Here is a 24,701-nt window from a genome sequence, read left to right as displayed (position 1 = left end):
CCAGTGCATTTTGGCTTATATATATATATATGTTAATGAATTGTGCCATTAACATCTTGTTATGCTTTAGTATTTAATTTATTTGAGAAACTCTAGTATTCTAACATTACTACACATCAGTTCTACATTTTCTTTTAGGTGATGTTTTAAATTCTCACATTGGGGATTTCAACATTTATTTCTCGTCTTTAAATCTTTCTCTATATCGTATTGAAGAAATGGGTTGTAATTTCTTAAATATGCAAAGCAATTTGAGATTAGAAGATTGCAACTCTGGAGTTAAGATAAAAGTGGTCTGCATTCAAGACTATACAAATTCACATATGTGTGGTGCTTTGCTCTTTGAGATTTTCATACTGCTTTTGCAAATCTTTCCCTTTACTTTGGTGTCCTGCGTTTTAAATGGAATTCTCACTCTGGACTCTTAATTTATTCATCTAATATTATTTTCCGCATCGTCCTACCTTTGTAGGTTATCAACTCATCCAGACACACCAACTTTTTTTAATAATTAAATACTATATTCATTCTAAATATTTTACATTCTAAGAATAAATTCTATGAATAGAATTTTAATTTTTATTGCTACACTAAATTCTGATTTTTTTAAATTCTGATTTTTAAATCATGAAGGTTTTTTGTTTTGTTTCTACTTTCTCAAGAATTACTGTTCACATTAAATACATGCCACAGATGTGTTTTTAGTAAAAAACAAAAAAAAGACACTTTCTAAAATCATTAGTTGCCTTTGACTGCATCTGTAATATATACATATAGACTAGTTATATTTTCAATAAAACAAAAAAGTTTTTTAAAGCAACTGCAGAAGTAAGTCCCATTAGCAAATATTGTGTGCTGAAGAGAAAACCACATTTAGTATGAACAATAGCATAACCGTAGGCCTGGAAAAGGTCAAGAACACCTCCACCTCACTCTCATTTGACAGAGTTGGCATACTAAATTTGTTGAGTGTTAATGTAACGTGGCGTGGAGAATTTTTTCCATTTCCAAAATAGTTAGTATATTAACCATTTAATATTCATACTTTTAGTGCTTAAAGTTATAAATGATACCCCTTCTTTTGTAACCTTGGAAATAAAACAGAAAAAAAGCCTTTACAGCTGCTGGCAAGCTTGAAACTGGCATCACACCAAACTCTAGAACTAAGCAGAAGCCAGTAGCAAAAGGAACTGCCACCCTCATTGACCCCTGGCGTTTTGACTCAGTTTGAATGAAGAACTGGGTGGAAGTGAAAAGTAGTCCAGACGATGTCCTCCCTAGTCACATTTCAGGAAAGGAATAGAGGTAGGAGAAGAAATTGTGCCATTACCGCTCTTCAGTGGGATTTCCTGATTTATTCCCCTCAAGGTTGTCAACCATTTGTGACTTTTCCGGTTGCCAATTATTTCACTTTATTACATAGTCTTCAATAAAAGAGACTGACCAACCCATCTTGACTTCAATTTTAAGCAAATATGAAAGATATACTATTTGTTGTTATAAAAAATACAGATACTTTTCATCAATCCATTTATTGAACATACTGATGATAAACGTTTCTGTTTCGACTAGATGTCTTCATAAAATACATAAAATAAATTTTAAAATCTCTGGGACTAAACTAGAGACTTTAAATGTACTCAACAGGAAAAAAAATAGAAACACAGTTTAAGGAACCTAATCATTGTAAATTGAGTTAACATCTCCTGTTTCTGAAAGAGAAGCTTTTAGTTGGACATAAAGATCGTTTTTTCTTTAAGAAATATATAACAGCTGAAATATGGTGTGGAATGGAAACCCACAAAATGTGGTTGCTGAGCCTCTCTTGAGTACTAGAATGTATATCATTTAAACAATATAAGAGTAAATTAGTAGCAGCACAGCCAGACACAGCAGAGAAAATTGACTAGACAGATAGAAAAGATAATCTGAAGAATATTGCTGTCCATTCTTTTCCATGAGTATGTGGATCAGTTCACAGATGTTGATGTAGTATCAGCAGCCTCCCAGATTCTGTTTGGCATTCGGTATGAATGGAATTACACATGAAACCACTGCATGGATCCATATCTAGTTATTGCTTTCCTTACTTATTAAAATCCTAAAAATACTTGAGGATTTCACTTCTGAGGAGGTGAAAATGATGTGTGTTCTTGAATCAAATCCTTTCTCTCTCTCTCTCTATATATATATATGTATATGTGTGTGTGTATATATATAATGTGTGTGTATAAAATAAATATAGAACTTGAAAATAATTACATGAAAACACTGGTTTAATCAGTCAGCTTCATTCAGAGACAAGTTCATTCAGGGAAAGAAAAAAATTAGTTGAATAATCTGTATTTTGAACTTCTCAGTTCTATTAAAACTGTCAACTTAGCTGTTATACGTAAACACACACCAGACTGTATAAGAGATAATTTAAAATATCAATTCTTAATTATATTTGTGGATAATAGCTCATTTTGATCAGAAAATAATTATTGCAGCCCTTTAAGTTTGAACAACTAAGTAACTAAAGTTTCAAGTCTAAATTAATAAAATAACTGGGTATACAAATGAATTGGTTCAAGTACACAGTGGATGGTTGAAGAGTCCAAGAACACAGTCCATTTGCTCCTGCTGGAAAGTCTGAGTAGTATCCTAAACTATTTATCAAAGACTTTAACATGTGAGCTGTGAAGCTTGTGTCAGATACATATTTTTGAAATAAAATATAAATGCCTTTGACACCTGTAGAACAGTTTTATGTTTTTGGAAAGATACTGCTTTTGCTCATCCTAGAGCAAATCCTACTTTACACAAAATTGACTTTAAAGGAAGATAATTTTGAATGTTCATGTTGGTGTCAGCCTAAAATTTTATACTTGAGAGCGACATTTGAGAAAAGGTGGTTGATGGATATAAGGTTAGTCAAAAACACTTTGTCTCACTCACACTCCAGGCCTCTTCCTGCAGCACATGGCTTCTTTGCACCCCATGTTCAGGATCATTGCTATTTCTTTAGAGTACATATTTTAGAGGTAGAAATTAGAGATGATTGTTTTATTACTAGAGACTGCAGTCCTCTGCCCCTGTCTTTTCTGTATGGGTATAAAGTTCCCAGTAATATAATTGTAACCATTAGATGGTTTACAAATTGTAACAGGAAGATATTTTATGTGGAAATTTTAAAAATCCGCATGATTGGCAAAATCCGATAAAATAATCCATTTACTATATGCAGTATAAAACAAACAATTATAAAAGAGCTGGCTTGATCATAAAAGAGTGGCTCAAAGTATCAAACTGAATATGAAATATAGCTACAGATAGAGAATATTTACCAAGAACATTTTGACATGTGCCTAGTGCCATGGTTCTCAAACTGTGTGCCAAGGTTCCCAGGGTGGTGTAGCTAATTCATAGGGGCACAGGATATTTTAAAATTTTAGAGAAAATACAGAGGCATCTATTGGACACTATGTGAACTATCATAGATAAGTTCTTTGGACTTTACTAAATAAAATTGAGCAGTTGGATATTTCCTTTGTTTTTAAGAGTCCCATGAAACAATTATTGAACCATCAATGGTGCCTTAATCAAAGAAAGTTTGGAAACTTTTGTCCTAGAGTTGTTTTAAAAATTACTGTGATTTTTTTTTTTTAACCTGGAAGTTATTGTCTTTCACCTATTACACTGCCAACCACAGAACAGAATATTATAACAAAATTTATTTTCCACTTAACAGTGCTATGTATAGTATGATGAAGATAATCAATTACTTGTTTATACCAATTGATTCCTTTGTCAATATGATTTCAAGCATTCAATATTTGGTTTATTTGTTTTGATTTAATTAATGCAATCTCAAATAGGCAACTGCAAATAGAGAGGTACTTTGAAGGAGAGAGCCTGGACTTGGGATCAGATTTTACCTCATTCTGATGTTTCGATTGTCCTAATGTAAGTTATTAAGCTTCAGTTTCCTTATCTACACAATGGTGTAATAAGATCCATGATCCATTTTACGGAATTGTTACAAAGATCAAACGAGATTATCTAAGAATTGGTGCCTAATATTGTGCCTGTCTTATTATGTTATTTACAAGTGATAAAGACTGAGATAATGTAGTACGAGCAAAATACAGATCTTGTTTTGAAAGGAAAAAAGGATTTTAAAATCACACCTAGCATTTGATGACATTTCATCACTCACTCTCTTTGAGTTAGGATCAAACTCACTCTGCCATACATGAATGAGGCTTCCTCTGACTGAGGAAAACAACTGTTTACAGAAAAGCAGCAAAGTGCTGATGAAAACATTTGCTTGGTTTAATACAACCTTAGCCTTACCTGTTTTTATTATAATCACCAAGTTTTAAACTTTTTCTTTTCTTTTTTTCATTTTTTGGAGGCAGTCTCACTCTGTCACCCAGTGCAGTGGCATGATCTCGGCTCACTGCAACCTCCACCTCCCAGGTTCAAGAGATTCTCCTGCCTCAGCCTCCCAAGTAGCTGGGACTACAGGCATGCACCACCACGCCCAGCTAATTTTTGTATTTTTAGTAGGGATGGCATTTTGCCACGTTGCCTAGGCTGGTTTCAAACTCCTGCCCTCACGTGATCCACCCACCTCCCAAAGTGCTGGGATTACAGGTGTGAGCCACCGTGCCTGGCCAGTTTTAAACTTTTTCTGTTGTTGTTTTTTACTTGTCCTTTTATTAGAGCTCATGTTGAGAAACATCATATGAGTTTTAGAAAATGTAGTTAGTCACTGTTTTGGCTGTATAAAACTAGAAATATATTCACATCCTCATTCTGCATTTTAAAACATTGATTAACTTTTCAGATATGTGCTAAATAGCCATATAAAGTTACTGATTGAAATATTTAATTGCCTCATGAGATTAGCTTAAATAAATAGAAGTCGATGAGCCAAGCTTAATAAACTTAAAATATGCTGTATTTACTCTTCATCGGTTTTCTGAACAGTATTTCCGTTTCCAATAAAAAGGGAAACTCTCAGTTAATTAGTTCCTCATACACCGCAATAAAATTAATGTTTAGGAGTTAAATACCATAAACTTCCTCAGGCGTATTTGCTGATGTGTTCCTGTTTTTAGTTAATGTCACATGTTTCATTGTTTAATGGGAGTATCATGTGGGTTCCATTATATCTCTTATGCAAAGAGTTCACGTGTCTGGCATTTTAGGAGACTGCATACTAATTTCTGATTTAACGGTGTCAGCTATGTCAGCTGACATACAGGTTATTGGTGATGAGTGCTAAAACAATCAAAAATCACAAGCTAAAAACCATCAACATGGTACGCTTTTATCAAACTGACAAAATAGGAAATGTGTTGTCAGGATCCCATACTGTATGTTCTTTGTAAATAAGCAGAGAGAAAAGAGGATATAATCATGTCTTTAGGCTTCTGTTTTTTGTTTGTTTGTTTTTATTTTTTATTTTTTTGAGACGGAGTCTCGCTCTGTTGCCCAGGCTGGAGTGCAATGGCACGATCTCGGCTCACTGCAAGCTCCGCCTCCTGAGTTCAAGCGATTCTCCTGCCCCAGCCTCCTGAGTAGCTGGGATTACAGGCGTCTGCCACCATGCCTTGCTAATTTTTTTGTATTTTTAGCAGACATGGGGTTTCACCATGTTGGCCAGCCTGGTTTCGAACTCCTACCTCAAGTGATCCACCCATCTTGGCCTCCCAAAGTGTTAGGATTAAGGCATGAGCCACCATGCCCAGCTGGTTTCTGTATTTTTTGTGTTAGAATTATTGTGACCAGCTCTTCCCCTCTCCTCTGCCTTCCCAGAAGTTTATAAACCGATGACTTTGGGAGATCCTGATTTAGTTGTAAAGCTTTGTAAATGTTTATATTTGTAAAGAATTGAATTATTTTGGTACCTGAATGGCCAGTCATTTAAGTTCCCTTTTGAGGTAGTTACATTAGTGGTTTAAAAATATGAAATGATTGAAAAATAAAGAGAACTGGGTTCAAAAATGTATACAACATTCCATAATTATGTGGTGACAGTCATCTTCCACTTCTCATGAGAAAAGTGTTTCTAGGTCATTAAAATATATCTTTTGATTGAAAATGGAGTTGACATTATTGTCTTAAGATTATATTACTGAAAAAGGGATATGTCTTTGTTGTGGCAATCACAGTATTATAACTTGACATAAAAATAATAGCTTATACTGTACTTTATTATTTATTAAATATTGTCACATAATTGATTTTAATCATTATAACTGTGAGATGATAACTGATCTATATTAGTAACCAGCATTTAATCCAACTTCCACCCCAACATATGCACACTGCCACCACCAAAATACGTACACACAAGCAAACAAAAAAGCAAAGACTCTTTCTTTGATAAATTTCTCAGATTTTATTAGGCCATAACTAGCTTTTCTTTTAATCCATGTCATTTACTTTTTAACATTTAAGAACATCAGAATGTCATTCATTTTAAACCTAAAGCTCATTCAGCTTAGTATTCTCTTTTCAACATGAGTCTCCTCCTTCACAATGTATAAACATAAGATGGAAAGAGTGATTAATGGCACTCTGTGCTGTCAGCCAAAAGACTTCAAAATATGGAATTACCATATGAGTTTGTCATAGCTGAGCCTAACCCTTAGACTTCTAAGTTTTTATTTTTGTTGCCACGGCAAGAATGGAATTTCATCTCAGTAACAGACTAAGTTCATCAACCTGAAGTGTAAGCCCAGAAGAACAATATATTATTTTATCTGAATAAATGTAACAGTTCATGATACAATACAACGGAAATCTCCAGTAAGCATGTTCTAAGACTCCACTAGAAGGCAAACTTATGTCATAAGATTGATTGGAAAGTATGGAAGAAGAAAAATATTTAGTAAAACAAGCTAAGATAAAACATTTTGCTTCAAACTCTACAATAGATATATATTTTCCGTAAGGACTTAAAAAGTCCTGATTTTGAAATGTCATGTGGAATAGGATGCTGCATTAATTTGGATACAGGTTTAGCTGCTGTAAAAGGCCAAAATAGTACTAGCTTAAACATGATGAAAGAATATTTTTTACTTCCGTAATAATCTAAGCATCGCTTATATGGTAACTCCATGACATCCAGTCTCAGGCTTGCTCTCTTATTGATTTTACGGCTTTCCACAAATTGTAGCTTACATCTTATGGTCTTAGATACCTTATCCAGCTTCCATTTCCACATTCCAACAATGAAAAGAGAAAAGTCAGGCGAGAAAGAACTACAGCAACTTTTCAGACAGTACTATTTCCCTAATAATTGATTTTGGCTCTATTTTCAAAGAGTATACTCAAACATTTCTTAAACCTGTCTCTATAGTCAGCTCATAATACCCTTCATATTTTTTTTCTAATATATTAAAGGTGGCACTTTCTGACTGCAACAACCTCAAACAATGGAGAATTGTAGAAAACAAACTAAAAGTTATCTGCCTTCACTCACATACTCCTATAATCCCACTACCCAGGTGTAACTACCATTAATTTTATACATGTTTTTCCAGAGCTAGGTATACATGTAAATATGAATCCATTATATATATTTATATAAAAATATTTAGATATAGATGTGTAATATGTAGCAAAATAGCCTGTGTATTGTAATATGCATAATATGATACATATACTATGTATATTTACGATATGTACTGTATATCATATACCTGAGGATATATGCTACATAGATGACAAACTACTTACATGTATGAAAAATACATTATGGATATCTTCTTCCTCCATACTTTCAGATGTAAATTATTCTATATTTCCTTATGATGGATACATCGTATTTTATTTGGTTTCCCCACTAATGGACATTTAGGTATTTCTACTGCATTTACAGTTTCAAACCATGCTACAATGAATATTTTTGTATGCGCATATTGCCCCAAATGAATTTTTCATGTAACCAGTTCCATTTCTAGTATGTGATATTTTACTTTAGTTTCTTTCTGAACATTTTGCACCTGAGAGTTTGCATCTAAATTCTAATGCTCTCTGAGTTTGTTAATGGAGAATTTAAAACTTTCAAAATGGAGTGGCCCAAGTTATCTGTGAATTAGCATTCATAAGACTTGAAATCAGAAACTAATTGTCTGGCTTTAATGAATTCTATCAGAAAAAAAAAAATACAATGAAACAAGGGGTCAGAAGACCTTAGTAGTCACAGTCCCGTTTCATATTAATCTGTGCCCTTGGGCAAGTCATCTTGCTCTCCCTGTTTTATCTTTTTCATCTTTCAGGCAGCCACAGTAATGTCTGCTCTACATACTTTATAAGGAGATTGTAAAATGTGGATGGGATGAGTATATGCATTTCTAAAGAAGTCAAATTATTGTATAAATATAAAATATCATTATGATTCATTAAATATATACTCCTGTTGTGAAACTATTAAATATGTCATAATGAAAAGGATGTCAAGAGTTTTTCTATTCTAGGTCACTATGCCTCTGACCATTCAAGACATTTATATTATGTATTTTTTCATATTCATTCATGTTAATGACAACATTTATTAACTTCTAGAGGTTTAACATTTATTATTTTAGTAGGAATCTCTAGGCCAGCAATCATTCTAAATGTGTATCTCATAGGCTTACCATTGTAGTGATTTAGGAAGCTTCCTATTCTCACCTGTGAACCTCAGACCCTGGATACACTCAGGAGGTATACGATGTCTGCCAAAAGCCCAGATAAGAGAGAAAGGTGCAATGGCTAGAAAGGGAGTCAGCAAATTAAATGGTTGCTAAGCCTTAATATTAAAAGTGGGAAATAAAAGAGGAATTGCATTTAATTTGGTCTTAAGTGGCTTATGCGAATGCCCCTCTTCCAAATTCCTACTCTCTAATACTTGAAACATTTTGGATGAATTTTCTCGGGACCATTCATTTCTTCATAAGACACAGAGGCAAAATGTAGACATAGTATTCTAAGATAGAGCTGGATATAGAAGCAGTTCCATAATTCATGATTCTTGTTAAGCAGCTTAAAATGAGTTATTGTGCAATACCTTAAATGATGCCTTAGCAGTCAGGCGGGAATACAGAAGGAAAAGGAGACATATTTGATTCATTGTCACCTTTTCAGGGATACTCAGACTTCTTAGATAATTAATCCAAGAAGTTTTATTGATAATCACATTCTCCAATTTACGGGCAAGGAGATGAAGAACAATGTATTTTTTATATGCAGAAAGGTCTTCCCATTCTGAGAGGTGTTTCTTAAAGAGTTCATAAATTAATCTCTTTCTAAACTAGCCAACTAGGTAACTATTAAATTAAATAGGATAAAGTTTTCATTTGCTATGCTACATTAAGACGTCATAAAAATATATTTTATTTTAAAAAATCTCTTATTGAAAATAGTTAGCTGTGACAAAGCAGTTAAGAACTAACAATTACCTTATATTGTCTTATTTTAAAATATCTATATAGTCAAACAAGAGCTAATTTATTTTACTCTCTCGAATAAAATGTATATGAAATATTCCCATTCATTACTTACCATTCTATGAAATTTAATACAAAATATTAGCATTTCTTATAAAAAGTTTCAAATGTTAAAGTCATATTATACTATTCTAGCAAATCTAAAAAGACTGTACAGATCTTCCACATTTCGAAATTCCTTCACCTTTACTTGTGTATAGCAAATCACTTGTTCTTGGTTGCTCAAGATGCTGTAGGAGAGTTGTTATAAATGTAACTACTTATAATGAGGAAAAAAGTATAGCTGAACTTATTGCCATAAGGAAACAAATTTCATCTTGGTTGGATTTAAGAAAGTATAAAATGATATGAAACAATCACAGTGAAGAATGATTTTGTTTTGATTATATGTTTATATGTAACATCTTATTTTCTAGTGGATACAATGACCAAGTGCAGGTGCTTTAATGAAATCATAATAAAAGATTCTTGTTGATGAACAGAAATCATTTTAAGACTTTGGAAGTGCATATTACTTAATTTTCATACCTAAGAGGATAAGAATTGTTTATAAAATCAAAATTTACAAGAGATAAATTATGGAATATTATAAAAGAATTATTGTTATATGAAAATATGTTAAAAGAGATTATTTTATTCTTTAACTACCTTCTCTGGGTCCTGATTTCCTCCTACCCCTAAATTCTAGGCCTCTCTGTCCCGTTTCATTATCTGTTCTTCCTTTCAACATTTGCAACTCAACAAAGTATTTGTTTGAATTAAACCGTGCACAAAAAACTAATACTTATTTGTATAATTATTGTCTTATAATATGGTTTTTCTACTAAACCTTAGGCTTTTGATATGCCAAGAGTTGTCTCTTGTATTTGATATTTGTTAACTTCTTAAATGAATTCTTCCTTCATTTATTCAGTCAATAAACATTTTAATAGGCTTAAGTGTGTCAGGCATTGTGCTAGGGACTAGGGATTTAAAGATGAGCAAGACATAATTCCTCCCTTTAGGATGCTCTTAGTCTAGTTGGGGAGAATGGGATTGCTATGGTCTGAATGTTTATTTTCCCCCAAAATTCATATGCTGAAATCCTCACCTTCAAGTTAATAGGAGGTGATTAGGTCATGAGGGCAAAGTCCTTATAAGAGTGGCCCCAGAGAGCTGCCTTGCTCCTTCTACAGTGTGAGGACACAGAAAGAATGCACCATTTATTCATCAAAAAATGGGCCTTCATCAGGCCCAGAATTTGCTGGTGCCCTTATTTTGGGCTTCCCGGCCTCCAGAACTGTGAGAAACAAATGTTTGTTCTTTATAAGCCACCCAGTTCATGGTATTTTGTTGTATCAGCCCGAACAGACAGAATAAGGATATAAGCAGTGGTAATATACAGATATGCATCATATTTTAAGAGAAGTCTTTGGAAAAGGAATTACTTTAAATCCAAGAGTGTTGAAGTATCAGGAAAGGATTCTTAGTGTGAGGGGTCTCAAGTCAACCTAAAGGATAAAGGCAGCTATACAATCGAAGAAGTGATTGGGCTGAAGGGATACAGACAGACTATTCCAAGCAGAAAAAAAAAGCCTAAAGACCAGAAAGCAAGAGATAAAATAGGGTGGACATGGACCTATAAACAGCTAAGTGTTAAGAATAATGTATATGGTAGGAAGTGACAAGTGAGTAGTACTTTGAGGACATGAGACCAATTCAGGGAAATATGTTTAGACATATGCTGCAGGAGCCAGAAAACCACGAAAGGTCTGAAGCCTAGGATTGAGATCATACTGGCATCCATCCACCCATCCATCCATCCATCCATCCATCCATCCATCCATCCATCCATCTATCTGTACATTCATCCATCCATCCATCCATATTCATTCATCCATCCATATATCCACATCAAAGCATGCTTCTCTTGTTCCCTGTTACATTTTCAGCCCCTAAAACATAGTATATAATTAATAAATACTTACTATACTTCAAATACAAGGAATGAATACTACAGATTGCCTGTATTGAATGCTACTGGAAACTAGAGAGAGAACGAATTTCGTTAGCAGAGGACTAGAGCCTGGGAGACTGATTGAGAAGCTCTTATAATAGAAAGACATGTAGACCTAGGAGTTTAAAGGAAAAGATCTTCATGATTTATTGGCCGTGGAGGGTGAAAGGGATGGAGAAATCAAGGTTACTTTCATATTTGTAGTCTGGGTGACTGAGTGTCACTAAGTGTTATAAGAACACCAGGAGTAGAAGCAGCTTTTGGAAGAAAGAAGATAAATTACATTTTGTACATGTGAAGGTGGAGCTTATTGTGGGACAGCTAGGGAGAATTGCTCAAAAAAAAAAAAAAACAGTAGAAGAGGTCTAGGCTACAGTCACTGATTTGGAAAATATTAGTTTGTATATGGTTGCTGAACCATGAGATTGGATAAGATCATTCAGATAAAGTGAATAGAAGGAGAAGAACCAAGTGCCAAGGATTAGACGCCAAGGAATACCAATATTTAAGGAAGGGATGGATGAAGGAAGGTGGAACAGCCTATTGCAGAAACAGATAATAAAGTTGGCATGAACAAGATATAAGGAGAACCAGGACAGCTGTTTTAAGAAAAGCCAAGAGAATGTATAGATATAATTAGAGAAGAAGAAAATCATTAACAGAGGCAGCTGTTGCAGATATATGTTCATTAAAATTTGGCAATTCAGAGGTCATTAGTAAATTTATAAAGCATTTCCCCAAAAATATATGGATTGAGAACTAAAGAGTAGGAGAAGGATTTAAGATTATCACTAGTTTTTAACAATTTAGATGAGAGAAAATAGATGATGGTTTCAGAAGGGGTTTTATATTCTAGATAGTTCATTTTTTTTAGGATAGGAGGTAATTGTGCATATATTTAAAGACATAATTATGTACAAATTGCTTATGTTGGTATTTGAGGTCATCGATAGACCATAATCAGCCTTCTAAATAATTTTTGCTACTAGATGAAATGGGTTCAACTACAGGCTAGATCTTGAATTTTGCTTGCTCATTTCTTTGATCCTGTTGTACCTCCTACTTTGGGGCTCATTTTTTTAATTGAGCATCTACTCTATGCCAGGCATTTCAGCTCATAGGCTTCTCGCATCTTTTCTACTTCGTATTTTATATTCAAGGCCTAACTCAATCTCAGCCCCTCCTCTGATTCTTTCCCCAGTGATCCAACTTGTATAAATCCTTTTCTCTGGTAATTACTGCCTATATTCATTTGACTCCAATTGTATAGTTTTGATTCATTTCACTTTCCATATTTATATGTCTTATTTTCATAACTGAAAGTGTTTTGAAGGCAAGGATTGTACCTTTTAGTGCTTTGTGTTCTCCACATAGTAAGAGTTTGATACATGTTAATTGAATGGAAATTAGTTGAATATGTTATGAAAATTGAAGTATACATTTGCATAATGCTTTAAAAGTAGTCTGTGTGTTCTGCAATAATGTTTTCCTTATTAAAATAGTAAGAACTCTAGTAATGATTAACCGTGGGATAATCCTGGCCAGTTTAAAAAATTGTGTAGAATGGGAATAATAATTTCTACCCTAAAGAGTTGTTGTGAAGATTAAAAGCAATTTTATACATTTACATATATGTATATATGTATATATGTGTATATGTATATGTAAGATATTTCAACACAGTGCCAAAAGTCAACAAATAATAGCTTCCCACATTTCAAATCAGTGGGAGAACAAGTAATTATTCAAAAACGATGAGGGAATAATTAAATATTTGGGGAAACAATATTTCTTAAATCATATACCAAAATAAAACTTCAAACACTGAAAAAAAATTCTCACATATTTTCTTTTTTCTTTTACTTCATCAAATCAGTTATCAAGTCTGTCTCCCAAAGCTATTCTCTGCTCTCCTTCATTGATTTATTTGCAATAGTTTTTAACATATCTATCTGCAGTCTCTCCTTCTTCCAATCGTTCTATGCCTTGCCACAAAACTGATATATCTGGAACACAAATACTAACAAAAAATATTATTTTCCTGCTTAAAACCTTTCAGTGACTTAACGTTGTCTTCAAAGGAAAACATAAGGCTCTTCAAGATATGAGCTCTACTTGCTTCTTTAGCTGAATAGTTCCCCATTCATTCCGTTTCTGCATCAGAAACACTGGGGGTAATGAAACTATCCCTGGATGTAGGCATAAATATAGTTGTTCTTATTAGCCCTATAAATGGCAGGGGGCTCCCCCAAGCTTGAAGGCACCCACCAATTTCTCTATCAGCCCATGACATGAAAGAAAGCAACATGAGATGAAAGAAAGCAGTTTTCTTCCAAAGTTCCATCTACAGTGTCCTTACTAACTTCATTTTGTCTTAGAATTCTACAAGGCCTCCTCTACCTGGAAATGAGAGTGGTAAGAACAGGGTGAGAACTCAGTACCAATCTGAGAAGGTTTTTAATAGGAGCAATGCTCGTTGCACTGAAAGGTGCATGCTTACTGTTGACCCTGTAACATTTATAATACATGGGAAGGAGGTGGTAAAATGGTCCCGAAGTATAATTTGGTATTGATAGTGGCCATCTTTTAAGAGACACCTCAGTAAATACAATTCCTTGACTATCGAGTCTCTTTCAGGTTGAGTTCTTTCTTTCAGGTTTCCAGAATAACTTTTACACTCTTCTACTTTGCTTATTGTATATTTGGATTAGTTTACATGGTGAATCCTCCTCACTTGATTAAGACTGGGACAGGGATTGTATGTGTGTATGTCAGAGAGGGGTTGATTTTCATATTTCCCAGCACCTACAGAAGGCAAGCTGGTATTTGTCAAGGAGGCAAAACAAAAACAAACAAAAAAACATGTAAGGCCAATAAAGGAATGAGTCTCCACATTTCAGTGAAGATAATGCCATAAAACTGTCCAAAACTTTTGCATTAGTTCAGTAGATGAAAGAGTGTGTATTGTTGAGTCTTGTTAAAACCACATCTGCATTTCACATTTTCCTTCATCCTAAATAATCTTGTTGGAAAAATTGTTTTTCTTAGGCTGTGTTATACAGTATAGAGATGAATTCTTCATAGTATGACTGGAGATAATTAATATCTAAATATGCACAACTATAATAATGATGCAATTGAATGCTTTTAAAGAGTTAATATAAGCCGTATCATTTGTGTCAGTAGACACTGTAAGCTATGTTGTATTCTGAAAGCAATAGAATAACATGCCTCAGTATACTTTTTAGCTTTTTGAAAAATTTTAGTTTTGAGCTAGAATTTCCATGCTTGGTCTTGAAATAAGAAGCAAATTAATGTTGGAAAGGCTTAGGGAAAAATTTTTCAAATGGTTAAAACCTAGGGAAGAGTAGAAGAAATTACTTTTAACTAGTTGAAAGTCAACTTGAATAACTTACACATGGTTGAACTTTAAAAGTCAAAGTTTTCCATTATCTGATTTTTTTACTAAGTATGAATCTCATGAGGTATTTACAAAATAAATCTGTTGTAATGTTTTTTAGTACAGTTAATTGAGGAATGGCGCAAATAGATGACAGTATTTACTTCAATAAAAACTCTTTTTTTTTTCTTACAGCAGCTTCTGTATTTTTCCTTTGCCATTAAAAATGACCCCTGACCTTGTTTGTGAAGCTTTGTAGATTCTGTGTCCACTGTAGAACACTGACACATCCATGTAATATATTTTGAATTTTTTAAATTGAGAGTTAAATGGCTGCATTGGAAATTTTCACAGGTATTTTATTTGTATTCACTTTGTTGTAACCAGGAGCATACTTCAACCAAAGTAATCTTGGCTTGAAAAAATGGTAACAAGGTAGAGACATGCTTTAAGTTAATTGTGTTTATGTGTTGGGTGAATATCATTGAAATAGCGTAGCGCTATTAGACACAATCCTTTTGAAATTAATTAGTCGACATATTGGATATATTTGTATATTTGAAACTATATATGATTAAAGATATATAATAACTGTAGTAGTCTTTTAAATTCCTGCTGCCAGTCTTTTCTTTTCCCCAATTCACTTAGACACCAAATATATTGACATATGGCTGTATATGGCAAACATATTGCATGAGTTTGTTATGGCTGCTATAACAAAATAGCATAGACTGAGTGGCTTGCACAACAGAAACTTATTTTTTCACAGCTCTGTATGCTGTATAGCTGAGATCAGAGTGTCAGCAGGTTGTTTCTTCTGATACCACTCTTTGCAGCCTGTAGATGACCACCTTCTCTCTGTGTTCACACCTGGTCATACCAGACAGACTCTATTTTGTTTGTGTCCTAATCTGTTCTGCTTATAAGAACACCAGACATATTTGGTTAAGTCACCATGCATATGACTTAATTTTATCTTAAATTAGCTCTTTAAAGGCTCTATTTTTAAATATAGTCACATTCTGGAGTATTAGTAGTAACAACTTGAACATATCAATTTGTAGACAGACATAATTCAATCCATGACACATATAAAAAGTATTTAGCTTATATAAACTTTCACATAAAGGAATACCTCATTTTACTGTGTTTTGCTTTAGTGTGTTTCACGCAGATTGCATTTTTTACAAATTGAAGGTTTATAGCAATTCTGCATAGAGCAAGTCTGTCAGCACCATTTTTCCAACAGCATGTGCTCACTTCATGTCTCTTTGTCATATTTTGATAATTTTTTCAATATTTCAAACTTGATTATTATTATATGTTATGGTGATCTGTGATCAATGATCTTTGGTATTATAGTTATAATTGTTTTGGGATGCCATAAACTGCACCCACATAAGATGGGAAACTTAAAAAATGTGAGCTAGAAATGATTGAGCTTGATGAAGAAGGTGTGTCAAAAGATGGGGCAGGCTAAAAGCTAGGCCTCTTGCACGAGACAGACAAGTTGCGAATGCAAAGGAAAAGTTCTGGAAGGAAATTAAAAGTGCTATGCCAGTGAACACACAAATAATAAGAAAGTGAAACAGCCTTATTGTTGAGTTGCAGGAAGTTTGAGTAGTTGAAATAGAAGATCAAACCAGCCACAACATTCCCTTAAGCCAAAGCCTAATCCAGAGGAAGGACCTATAACTCTCTTCAATTCTACGAAGGCTGAGAGAGATGAGAAAGCTGCAGAAGAAAAGTTTGGTGTTGGGGAGGTTGGTTCAGGAAGCCATCTACCTACATAAAAGTGCAAGATGAAACAGCAAGTGCTGATGTAGAAGCTGCAGCAAGTTATCTAGAAGATTTGTCTAAGGTCATTGATGCAAAAGTGGCTACACTAACCAACAGATTTTCAGTGTAGATAAAACAGCCTTTTACTGGAAGAAGATGCCATCCAGAACTTTCATAGCTAGAGAGGACAAGTCAAGTCAATGTCTGGCTTCAAAGGACAAGCTGACTCTTAGGAGCTACTGCAGCTGGTGAATTAAGTTGAAGCCAAAGCTCATTTACTATTTTGAAAATCTTAGTTTTTTTAAGAATTAAGCTAAATCTACCTTGCCTGTGCTCTATAAATGGAACAGCAAAAGCCTGGATGACAGCACATCTATTGACAGCGTGATTTACTGAATATTTTAAGCCCACTAGTGAGACCCACAGCTCAGAAAAAAGATTTCTTTCAAAACATTACTGCTCATTGACAGTTGCACCCAGTCACCCAAGAACTCTGATGGTGGTGTACAAGGAGATGGATGTTGTTTTCATGCCTGCTAACACAACATTTGTTCTACAGCCAACGAGTCAAGGAGTAATTTTGACTTTCAAGCCCTATTATTTTAGAAATACATTTCATAACCTGTCACTGCCACAGTGATTCCTCTGATGGATCTGGAAAGAAAGTAATTATTGAAAACCTTCTAGAAAAGATTTACAATTATAAATGCTATTAAGAACATTAATGATTGATGGGAGGGAGGAGGTCAAAATACCAACATTAACAGGATTTTGAAAGAATTTGATTTTACCCCCCTTGGATGACTTTGAGGGGTTCAAGACATCAGTAGAGGAAATAATTGCAGATGTGGTGGAAATAGCAGTAGAACTAGAATTAGAAATGGAGCTTGAAGATGTGACTAAATTGCTGCCATCTCATGATAAAACTTGAATGGATGAGGAGTTTCTTCTTATGAATGAGCAAAGAAAATGGTTTCTTGAAATTAATTCTACTTCTGATGAAGATTATGTGAGCATTATTGAAATGACAACAAAGGATTGAGAACATTAAATAAACTTAGTTGATGAAGCAGTGGCAGGGTTTGATGGAACTTCAAAGCTGAAAGAAGTTCTGCTGTAGATAACTGCTATCAATTAGCATCACATGCTACAGAGAGATCTTTTGTGAAAGGAAGAGTCAATCAATGCTGCAAACTTCATTGTTGTCTTATTTGAAGAAATTCCCACCAGGCGCGGTGGCTCATGCCCATAATCCCAGCACTTTGGGAGGCCAAGGCAGGTGGATTGCTTGAGCCCAGGAGTTCAAGTCCAGCCTGGTCAATATTAAAAAACCTTGCCTTTACAAAAAATTAGCTGGTTGGAGTGGTGTGGGCATGTGGTCCCAGCTACCCAAGAGACTGAGGTGAGAGGATTGCCTGAGACCAGGAGGTCAAGGATGCAGTGAGTAATGTTTGCGCCACTGCACTCCACCCTGGGCGACATAGCCAGACCCTGTCTCAAAATAAATAAGTAAATAAGAGAAAAGAAAAGGAAGGTTAGCTACCCTAACCTTCAACAGCCACCATCCTGATCAGTCAGCAGCCATCAACATCAAGGCAAGACCTTTAAGCAGCAAAAAGATTACAACTCACTGAAGGCTCAGATGATAGCATTTTTTAGCAATAAAGTATTTTTTTATTAAGGTATGTATATGTTTTAGACATAATTCTATTGCACACTTAATAGACTATAGTTTTGTCTAAACACGACTTATATGTACTGTGAAACAAAAAAGTGTGCATAACTTGCTTTATTGTGCTACTTGCTTTATTGTGGTAGTTGGATTCAAACTTACAATATCTCCAAGGTATTCCTGTGTATATATACATTTATACACATACAATATGGCATTAGTAAAACATATCAGCTATTTACATATATATGCATATCCAAAGGAAAGATAGTTAATTTCATTAATACACATTCATTAATTTAGGAAATAAAAAGATTATAACATATGCATATTTTTAAATTTTATGGAATAATCTGTATTATAAGTAATGAGCTTTAAATTTACATGAAATTTGATATTAATAATTAGATGCAAGTAATGCAAAAGTGTCCCAAACATCTGCAGGTGTTTTGCTAAATTTAGGAGTTAAACAAATTTAGGAATACGTCTTTGTCTCTAGGATGGAGAACCAGGTGATCTTTAATACTTCCTACTACTTAAGCTCTTTAATGAGGCTTCTTAAAACTTCATTTCTTGTCCATTGCCTTTTCATATCCAGATCTCAAGATTGGAGTATTAAAAGTTTCCCAACTCCTTGTCTTCAATCTCTTTTCCCTCTACTTTATTCTATCACCTGTTATTTAAACTGTTTCTTCTCTACATTCCTTTAGCATGTCATACTCCTGCTTTGATGCATTTCACCCTATCCGAAAGGTCTCTCCTCCCCTCCATCTGCACATTTTCAAGACCAAGCTCACTCTTATTTTCATCTGTAACTATTCCCTTAAGATTGAAGCCTGGATTAGTTCTCCCTTACCTCCTATACTACCTACTGATGATGGTCAACATTATTCAAATAAGCACTTAATTAGAAAAGATAGAAATGCAGTAAATACAGACCAAGTTTTGTTTTGTCTCACAGAGCAGCTAGCAGAATTCTGTTCATGATAAATGTTATAGTGCTTATGAATTGGTTAATTTACAATAGGGAAAATAAATAATAAAAAATGAATTTTCACTGTGAAGAGTACCACAGCCTCTACAATTTTGCTTTTGTTAATTTTAAGATTATGTATCCTAAGTTAAGAATACAAATGAATTAAGTAGTTTTAAGCATTTAAATTGTCAATTCTAATAGTCATACTATAATAGTATTTACAATTTTAACTAGTTTGCATGAATTTAGCTTTTAAATATCTAAATGTCCTATTATAAAATTGGATAGTGTTTGGAAGATTAAATACTAAAAATATGAAATGATAAAGCACCATTATGTAATATTGGTTGTCCCTTCTCTCTCCTGTATCATAGGTTTTTGCTCTATTTACTGAATCTTTCTCATTAGCATACGAGCATGGTATAATTTTTCTACATATGTACCTTCTTATAAAGTTTGCTTGATCACACAACTTTCACTAGCTACTGTAAAACACCTCAGTGTAGTTGTCTGTTCTAGCACTTCTCAAACTCTAATACACATACAAATAATCTGGGGCTCTTGTTAAAATTTAAATTCTGATTCAGATGCCACATGTTTCCTACTTCAATAAATTAGCCTAAAACTGTTGTGCCTTAAGACAACAAACATTTATTTGGACACAGCCATGCTGGGTACCTCTGGCTCCGGATCTTTCCCACTGTAGTCCAGGTATTGGCCTGGATTGCAGTCATCTCTAGGCTTGGCCTGGGTAGAATCTGTTCCAAGCTCCCTTCATTAACTGTTGGCATGCCTCATTTCTTTGCTTGCTATTGGCCAAAAACATCTGTCTTTTGCTATATGAGTCTTTCCACAGAGCAGCTCACAACCTAGCGGCTTGCTCCAACAGAGGGTGTGGGCAACCAAGGCAGCCAAAATACTTTTGTAACTTAATCTCAAATGTAAAATAGCATTACTTTAGCCATATTCTGTGCATTAGAAGGCAATTACCAGACCCAGGACACACTGAAAGGGAGGTGATTACATGGGACATAAATACCAGGGAGTGGGAGTCATTGGAGGTTCTATCTTAGGGGCTGTCTGCACAGTAGCTTTAGGGTGGGTTCTAAAAATGTGCATTTCCAAGAAACTCCAGGTGATGCTAATGCTCCTCATCTGAATCTTGCATTGAAAAGCGAGGGTCTACACTTCCTGCCTCCAATTCCTTTCTTTCGATCATCCTTTGTTGATCACACTCTTTCTGATTAGGCCTTCTCAACCTCCACTCCACTGAAACCGCCATTGTTGCAGTTGCCAGTGACCTCCACATCATTAAATCCAGCACTTAAATGAAAAAAATTATCACTGTCTGGAAGTCTTTCTTTACTTGGCTTCTGGAACACCAAATTTACATTTCTTCTCAGTCTCTTCTGCTAGTTACCTATCTGCCTGAGTATAAATGTTAGTACATCCCACAGTCCAAATTTTTGGACCTCTTTTTAATCTATGGTTAACTCCTAAGTGGTCTTATCAAGGCTTACAGCTTAAATTCCAGATACATGCTAACCACTCTCAAGTATATGTCTCCTATGAGGGCTTTTCCCCTAAAATTTTAACATGTTTATCAAGTGTCTAATAAATACCTCAACCTGGATATCTAATCATAATTTCAAACTTAAAATATCTAAAACAGAACTCTTTGTTCCTTCCCCGCAACAACACCCTTTAGGCCCCACCTGGCAGTCTTGCTTCTAATCTGTGTTTACAAACCCAGTACATACTACCACATGTCAATCAGTTGTTTTAGTGAAAAACCTGGAAGTCATCCTTGAGTCTTCTGTTACTCTCATACGTAACAGTCATTAGGTTTTACCAGTTATACCATTTAAATATCTCTGGAGTCCCTGCCTCACTCTCCATCCCCATGTCACCATCCTAGTCTGACCATAATTACCTTTTTTTTTTTTTTTTTTTTTTGAGACGGAGTCTCGCTCTGTCGCCCAGGCTGGAGTGCAGTGGCGGGATCTCGGCTCACTGCAAGCTCCGCCTCCCGGGTTCATGCCATTCTCCTGCCTCAGCCTCCCAAGTAGCTGGGACTACAGGCGCCCGCCACTACGCCCGGCTAATTTTTTGTATTTTTAGTAGAGACGGGGTTTCACCGTTTTAGCCGGGATGGTCTCGATCTCCTGACCTCGTGATCCGCCCGCCTCGGCCTCCCAAAGTGCTGGGATTACAGGCGTGAGCCACCGCGCCCGGCCCATAATTACCTTTTATACAGATTTCTGCATCTGCTCACTAGTTGATTACAGCTCTCAACCTCCCACCCAAGTGATTTTACTCAACCCATCTGTTTTCCACGTTCATGATTTCCTTTACCGTATAGGATAAAGTTTAGATCATTTAATGTTTACAGAAATCACACATAATCTGGCATCTTACTCCCTCCCCAATCCCATTGATCTCACTTCCCTACATGCTCTCTGTACTTCAGCAATACAGGGACTGGGCTATAACTAACACTTCCATTTGATTCTTCATGAAAATTGTTTCCCTGCCTGGAACAATCTTTCTTCCCTTCTTTGTCTAGCTAACTATAATTTAATTCAAGTTTCAGCTTAAACATCACCTTTTCCTGGAGGCTGTCTTTAACATATTAGACTAGGTTTGGGACAACCACAGTGCAGTCCATAGCATTATGTACTTCGCTGTCTTAACTGCCATTATATATTATACTAATCATTTAATTATCTTTTTCTCCCATTAAACTGTAAGCTTTTGGAAGGCCAGATCCAGAGAGGTAGATCCAGGTATTTTGAAGCCTAAAAAATAACCTGGGAGACTCTCTTTAGAATAAAAATGCAAAAATTTTATATGCTCAGACACGCACACAAACACACACACTTAGGTAGAAAAGTGAATATTCATTTATAACAAATCACAACAAATTACAACAACTGATAAATATAAAAATATATGACAAATATAAAAATACGCAGTGAACATACTGCAAGAGGCCAGTTTCAAAAGCCCAAAGTTTAAGCTTCATTAAATTCCCAGTAAATTCACATCTGCATATTAATCTTTTCCAAAGCTTTATGTCTAGGGCCAAGAGGAATGCTTAATACATAGCAGGTACTCAATAAATGTTTTTGAATGGCGTATTAACTGAGTTATTTTAAGTTATATTTTTCATGCGTGCAATATTCAACACATTTTTTATAAATTAGATTTCTACAAAATGTTTTATGCATTACAAAATTGTTCTATTATTTTTAGTTATTTGCTATGGTCATGTGTCAGATGACAAATAATGTACATTACTTATATTTCTTAGCAATTTATTGGGCCCTATGCAACAGGTCTATTGTACCTCTTTACTAATTAAGAACCCCCTTGATTTTCATAAAAAATAAGCAGAATAACCTTCTCTATGTGCTTCTCTGTATGTTTTTGTGTGTGCCTATATTTTTACAGGTCATATAACAGTAAAACTTCAGGATTAATTTTGAATTAGTGTGCTTTTTTAATAGATAAAAAATGTCGGGGGGAAGGGATCTATTTTCCATTTTCATTACAATATAGTTTTGTAAACATTTATCCCTGGATAATAAAGATGTCAATATTTCATATAACTTGAAAAACACATAAAATGTTTTCTTCGTTGTTAATTTGTCCATATTATTTAAGAGATTAAGATTATTTGAATCAAGACCGTAACATAGCATTTCAAAGATAAGCTACTTTGTTTAAATCTTTGGAGTTTAATTCATTAAAATAAAAGTAAGTTAAGTTCCTTTTATAATAATACTGTAAATTTGCTGAGGAGTTACTGTGCTCATATTAAAATTGTGTGTGTGTGTGTGCACGCGCGTGTGTGTTATCAAGTGCAGCCCTCTGATCAATGCTCACTTTCCCTCCCATTTTCCTAAATACATCATGAAAAAAGGATGAGGTTTCCGCCTTAATTGCTTGTGCCTTTTATTCACATTCCTCTCTCAGCCAGAATTGTGAAAAGAGTGTTAGTAAAAGGCTGCACAATAGAGCTTTTCATTAGGCCTCAGCAAGGCACACAAAAGAAGGCTTTTGGAAAGAGTGAATGCATGAGTTTAATTTGCAGGTGGAGAGTAGATAAAAGGTGCTGACGCCTCTATTATTCTCTTACTTAGGTGACCCTTACCCTGTTCAGCTGATCCCAACTACCATGGCAGCTGCTGCCGCAGCAACACCAGGCTTAGGCCCACTCCAACTGCAGGTAAGTCAGGAAACAATACAGAGGAGACAAAGGTTAAGTAAATATCGAAAACAGCTATTATGGTGTTAAAGCAAAATAAAACTGACTCGTGATATTCGTCTCACACTTTCTGTTTTTAAATTTATTTGTAATGATCCTCAACCACAAGTTGAAATGTTGATTCTCTTAATTTTTAGCCCTGTTTTCTGCACTAAACATAGCTTATCGTATTTCTTTTCTTGCCGGTATTATTAAGAAAGTGAGCTGTAGTTTTGCTTTGATTACTGCGTGCCATAATTTTGTCACAGTATGGTCCTTATCAAGGTAAAAAGAACAAAAAACCCTGCAAAAGATATTCAGACACTTGAGGAGCAAGGCGACTTAACAAAAATGCATTTCAAATTGCTCAGGATGCCCAGTATCATTGAAATGGTCTGTAGGTCTCTTTGTTCTCTTGCTAATACCAGCTGAGTTGGGCAAGCAAGGAAAAGTAGACCAAATAAGCTGAAGACTAAATAAGCACAACTTTATCCCAGTCATCCCAATTAAGACTTTTCTAGCCGTGCGAAATATATATTCCTATAATCCGAGAATGTCAACGATAACTTTACCAGATGTCCAAGTGATTTGAGAAGCTTTGTCTCTGAGGTTGAAAAGAAAATCAATACAATTATAGTAACAGGTAGCTTTGATTAACTGTTGACATTTTTGAATCAGCATCCCACAAAACATTCCTTAGTTTCTATCGGTATGGACCTGTGATTATGCAATTAACGGGAATAGAAAATTATCTAATAATAGGATTACTCTCCTCTTGTGAGAAGTTAACCTGAAAGACACAGTATGCCTATGAATACTGTTAGCCTGAAAGACACAGTATGCCTATGAAGCCAGAGATAAAGCAGTTATACTTAATAATTAATTTTTCTTCGTGAAAAGGTATTGTCATGATAGGTGATCTTAGTCTATAAGGAAAATATAGTTTTATATTGTAGCATCAAGAGACAGATAACATCTGGCCTGCACATGGGTTTGTCAGAAGACCTGGTGGGTTTCTGAAAGGCCAGCTGAGTTTCCCAGGAGGAACTACCAGTGTGAAAGCTGAGACATACTGTGTTCTACAGAGGTTAATAACATTCATTTCTATTCTTCCTTTTCTGTGAACAGCTACACTGTGAGT

The 24,701-nt window shown here is 34.8% G+C and overlaps 1 protein-coding gene across 42 annotated transcripts in view, besides 2 other annotated features; it reads left to right on the top strand.

Annotated features, from left to right (window-relative positions):
- SOX5 (SRY-box transcription factor 5) overlaps nt 1–24,701 on the top strand; it is a 1,033,147-nt gene that overhangs the window by 898,297 nt on the left and 110,149 nt on the right. For all 42 annotated transcript variants that reach the window (XM_024449159.2, XM_024449158.2, XM_047429458.1 and 39 more), the window contains one exon: nt 23,457–23,542. In XM_024449159.2, coding sequence (XP_024304927.1) covers nt 23,457–23,542 — 86 coding nt within the window. The remainder of the gene's footprint in view (nt 1–23,456; nt 23,543–24,701) is intronic.
- Nucleotides 23,081–23,656: an enhancer, noted in NCBI's record as "OCT4-NANOG hESC enhancer chr12:23793632-23794207 (GRCh37/hg19 assembly coordinates)". NCBI's record gives its function as "activates a minimal SCP1, AML or CMV promoter by ChIP-STARR-seq in primed H9 embryonic stem cells {active_cell/tissue: H9 hESC(primed)}" and the evidence as "EXISTENCE:reporter gene assay evidence [ECO:0000049][PMID:30033119]".
- Nucleotides 23,825–24,119: a silencer, noted in NCBI's record as "tiled region #8728; HepG2 Repressive non-DNase unmatched - State 15:Elon". NCBI's record gives its function as "represses a minimal TATA promoter and a strong SV40 promoter by Sharpr-MPRA in HepG2 cells {active_cell/tissue: HepG2}" and the evidence as "EXISTENCE:reporter gene assay evidence [ECO:0000049][PMID:27701403]".

Source organism: Homo sapiens, chromosome 12, assembly GCF_000001405.40.
Source record: "Homo sapiens chromosome 12, GRCh38.p14 Primary Assembly".
NCBI lineage: Eukaryota > Metazoa > Chordata > Mammalia > Primates > Hominidae > Homo > Homo sapiens.
The sequence above is the reverse complement of the archived record's forward strand: the minus strand, read 5'-3'. Positions and strand labels throughout refer to the sequence as shown.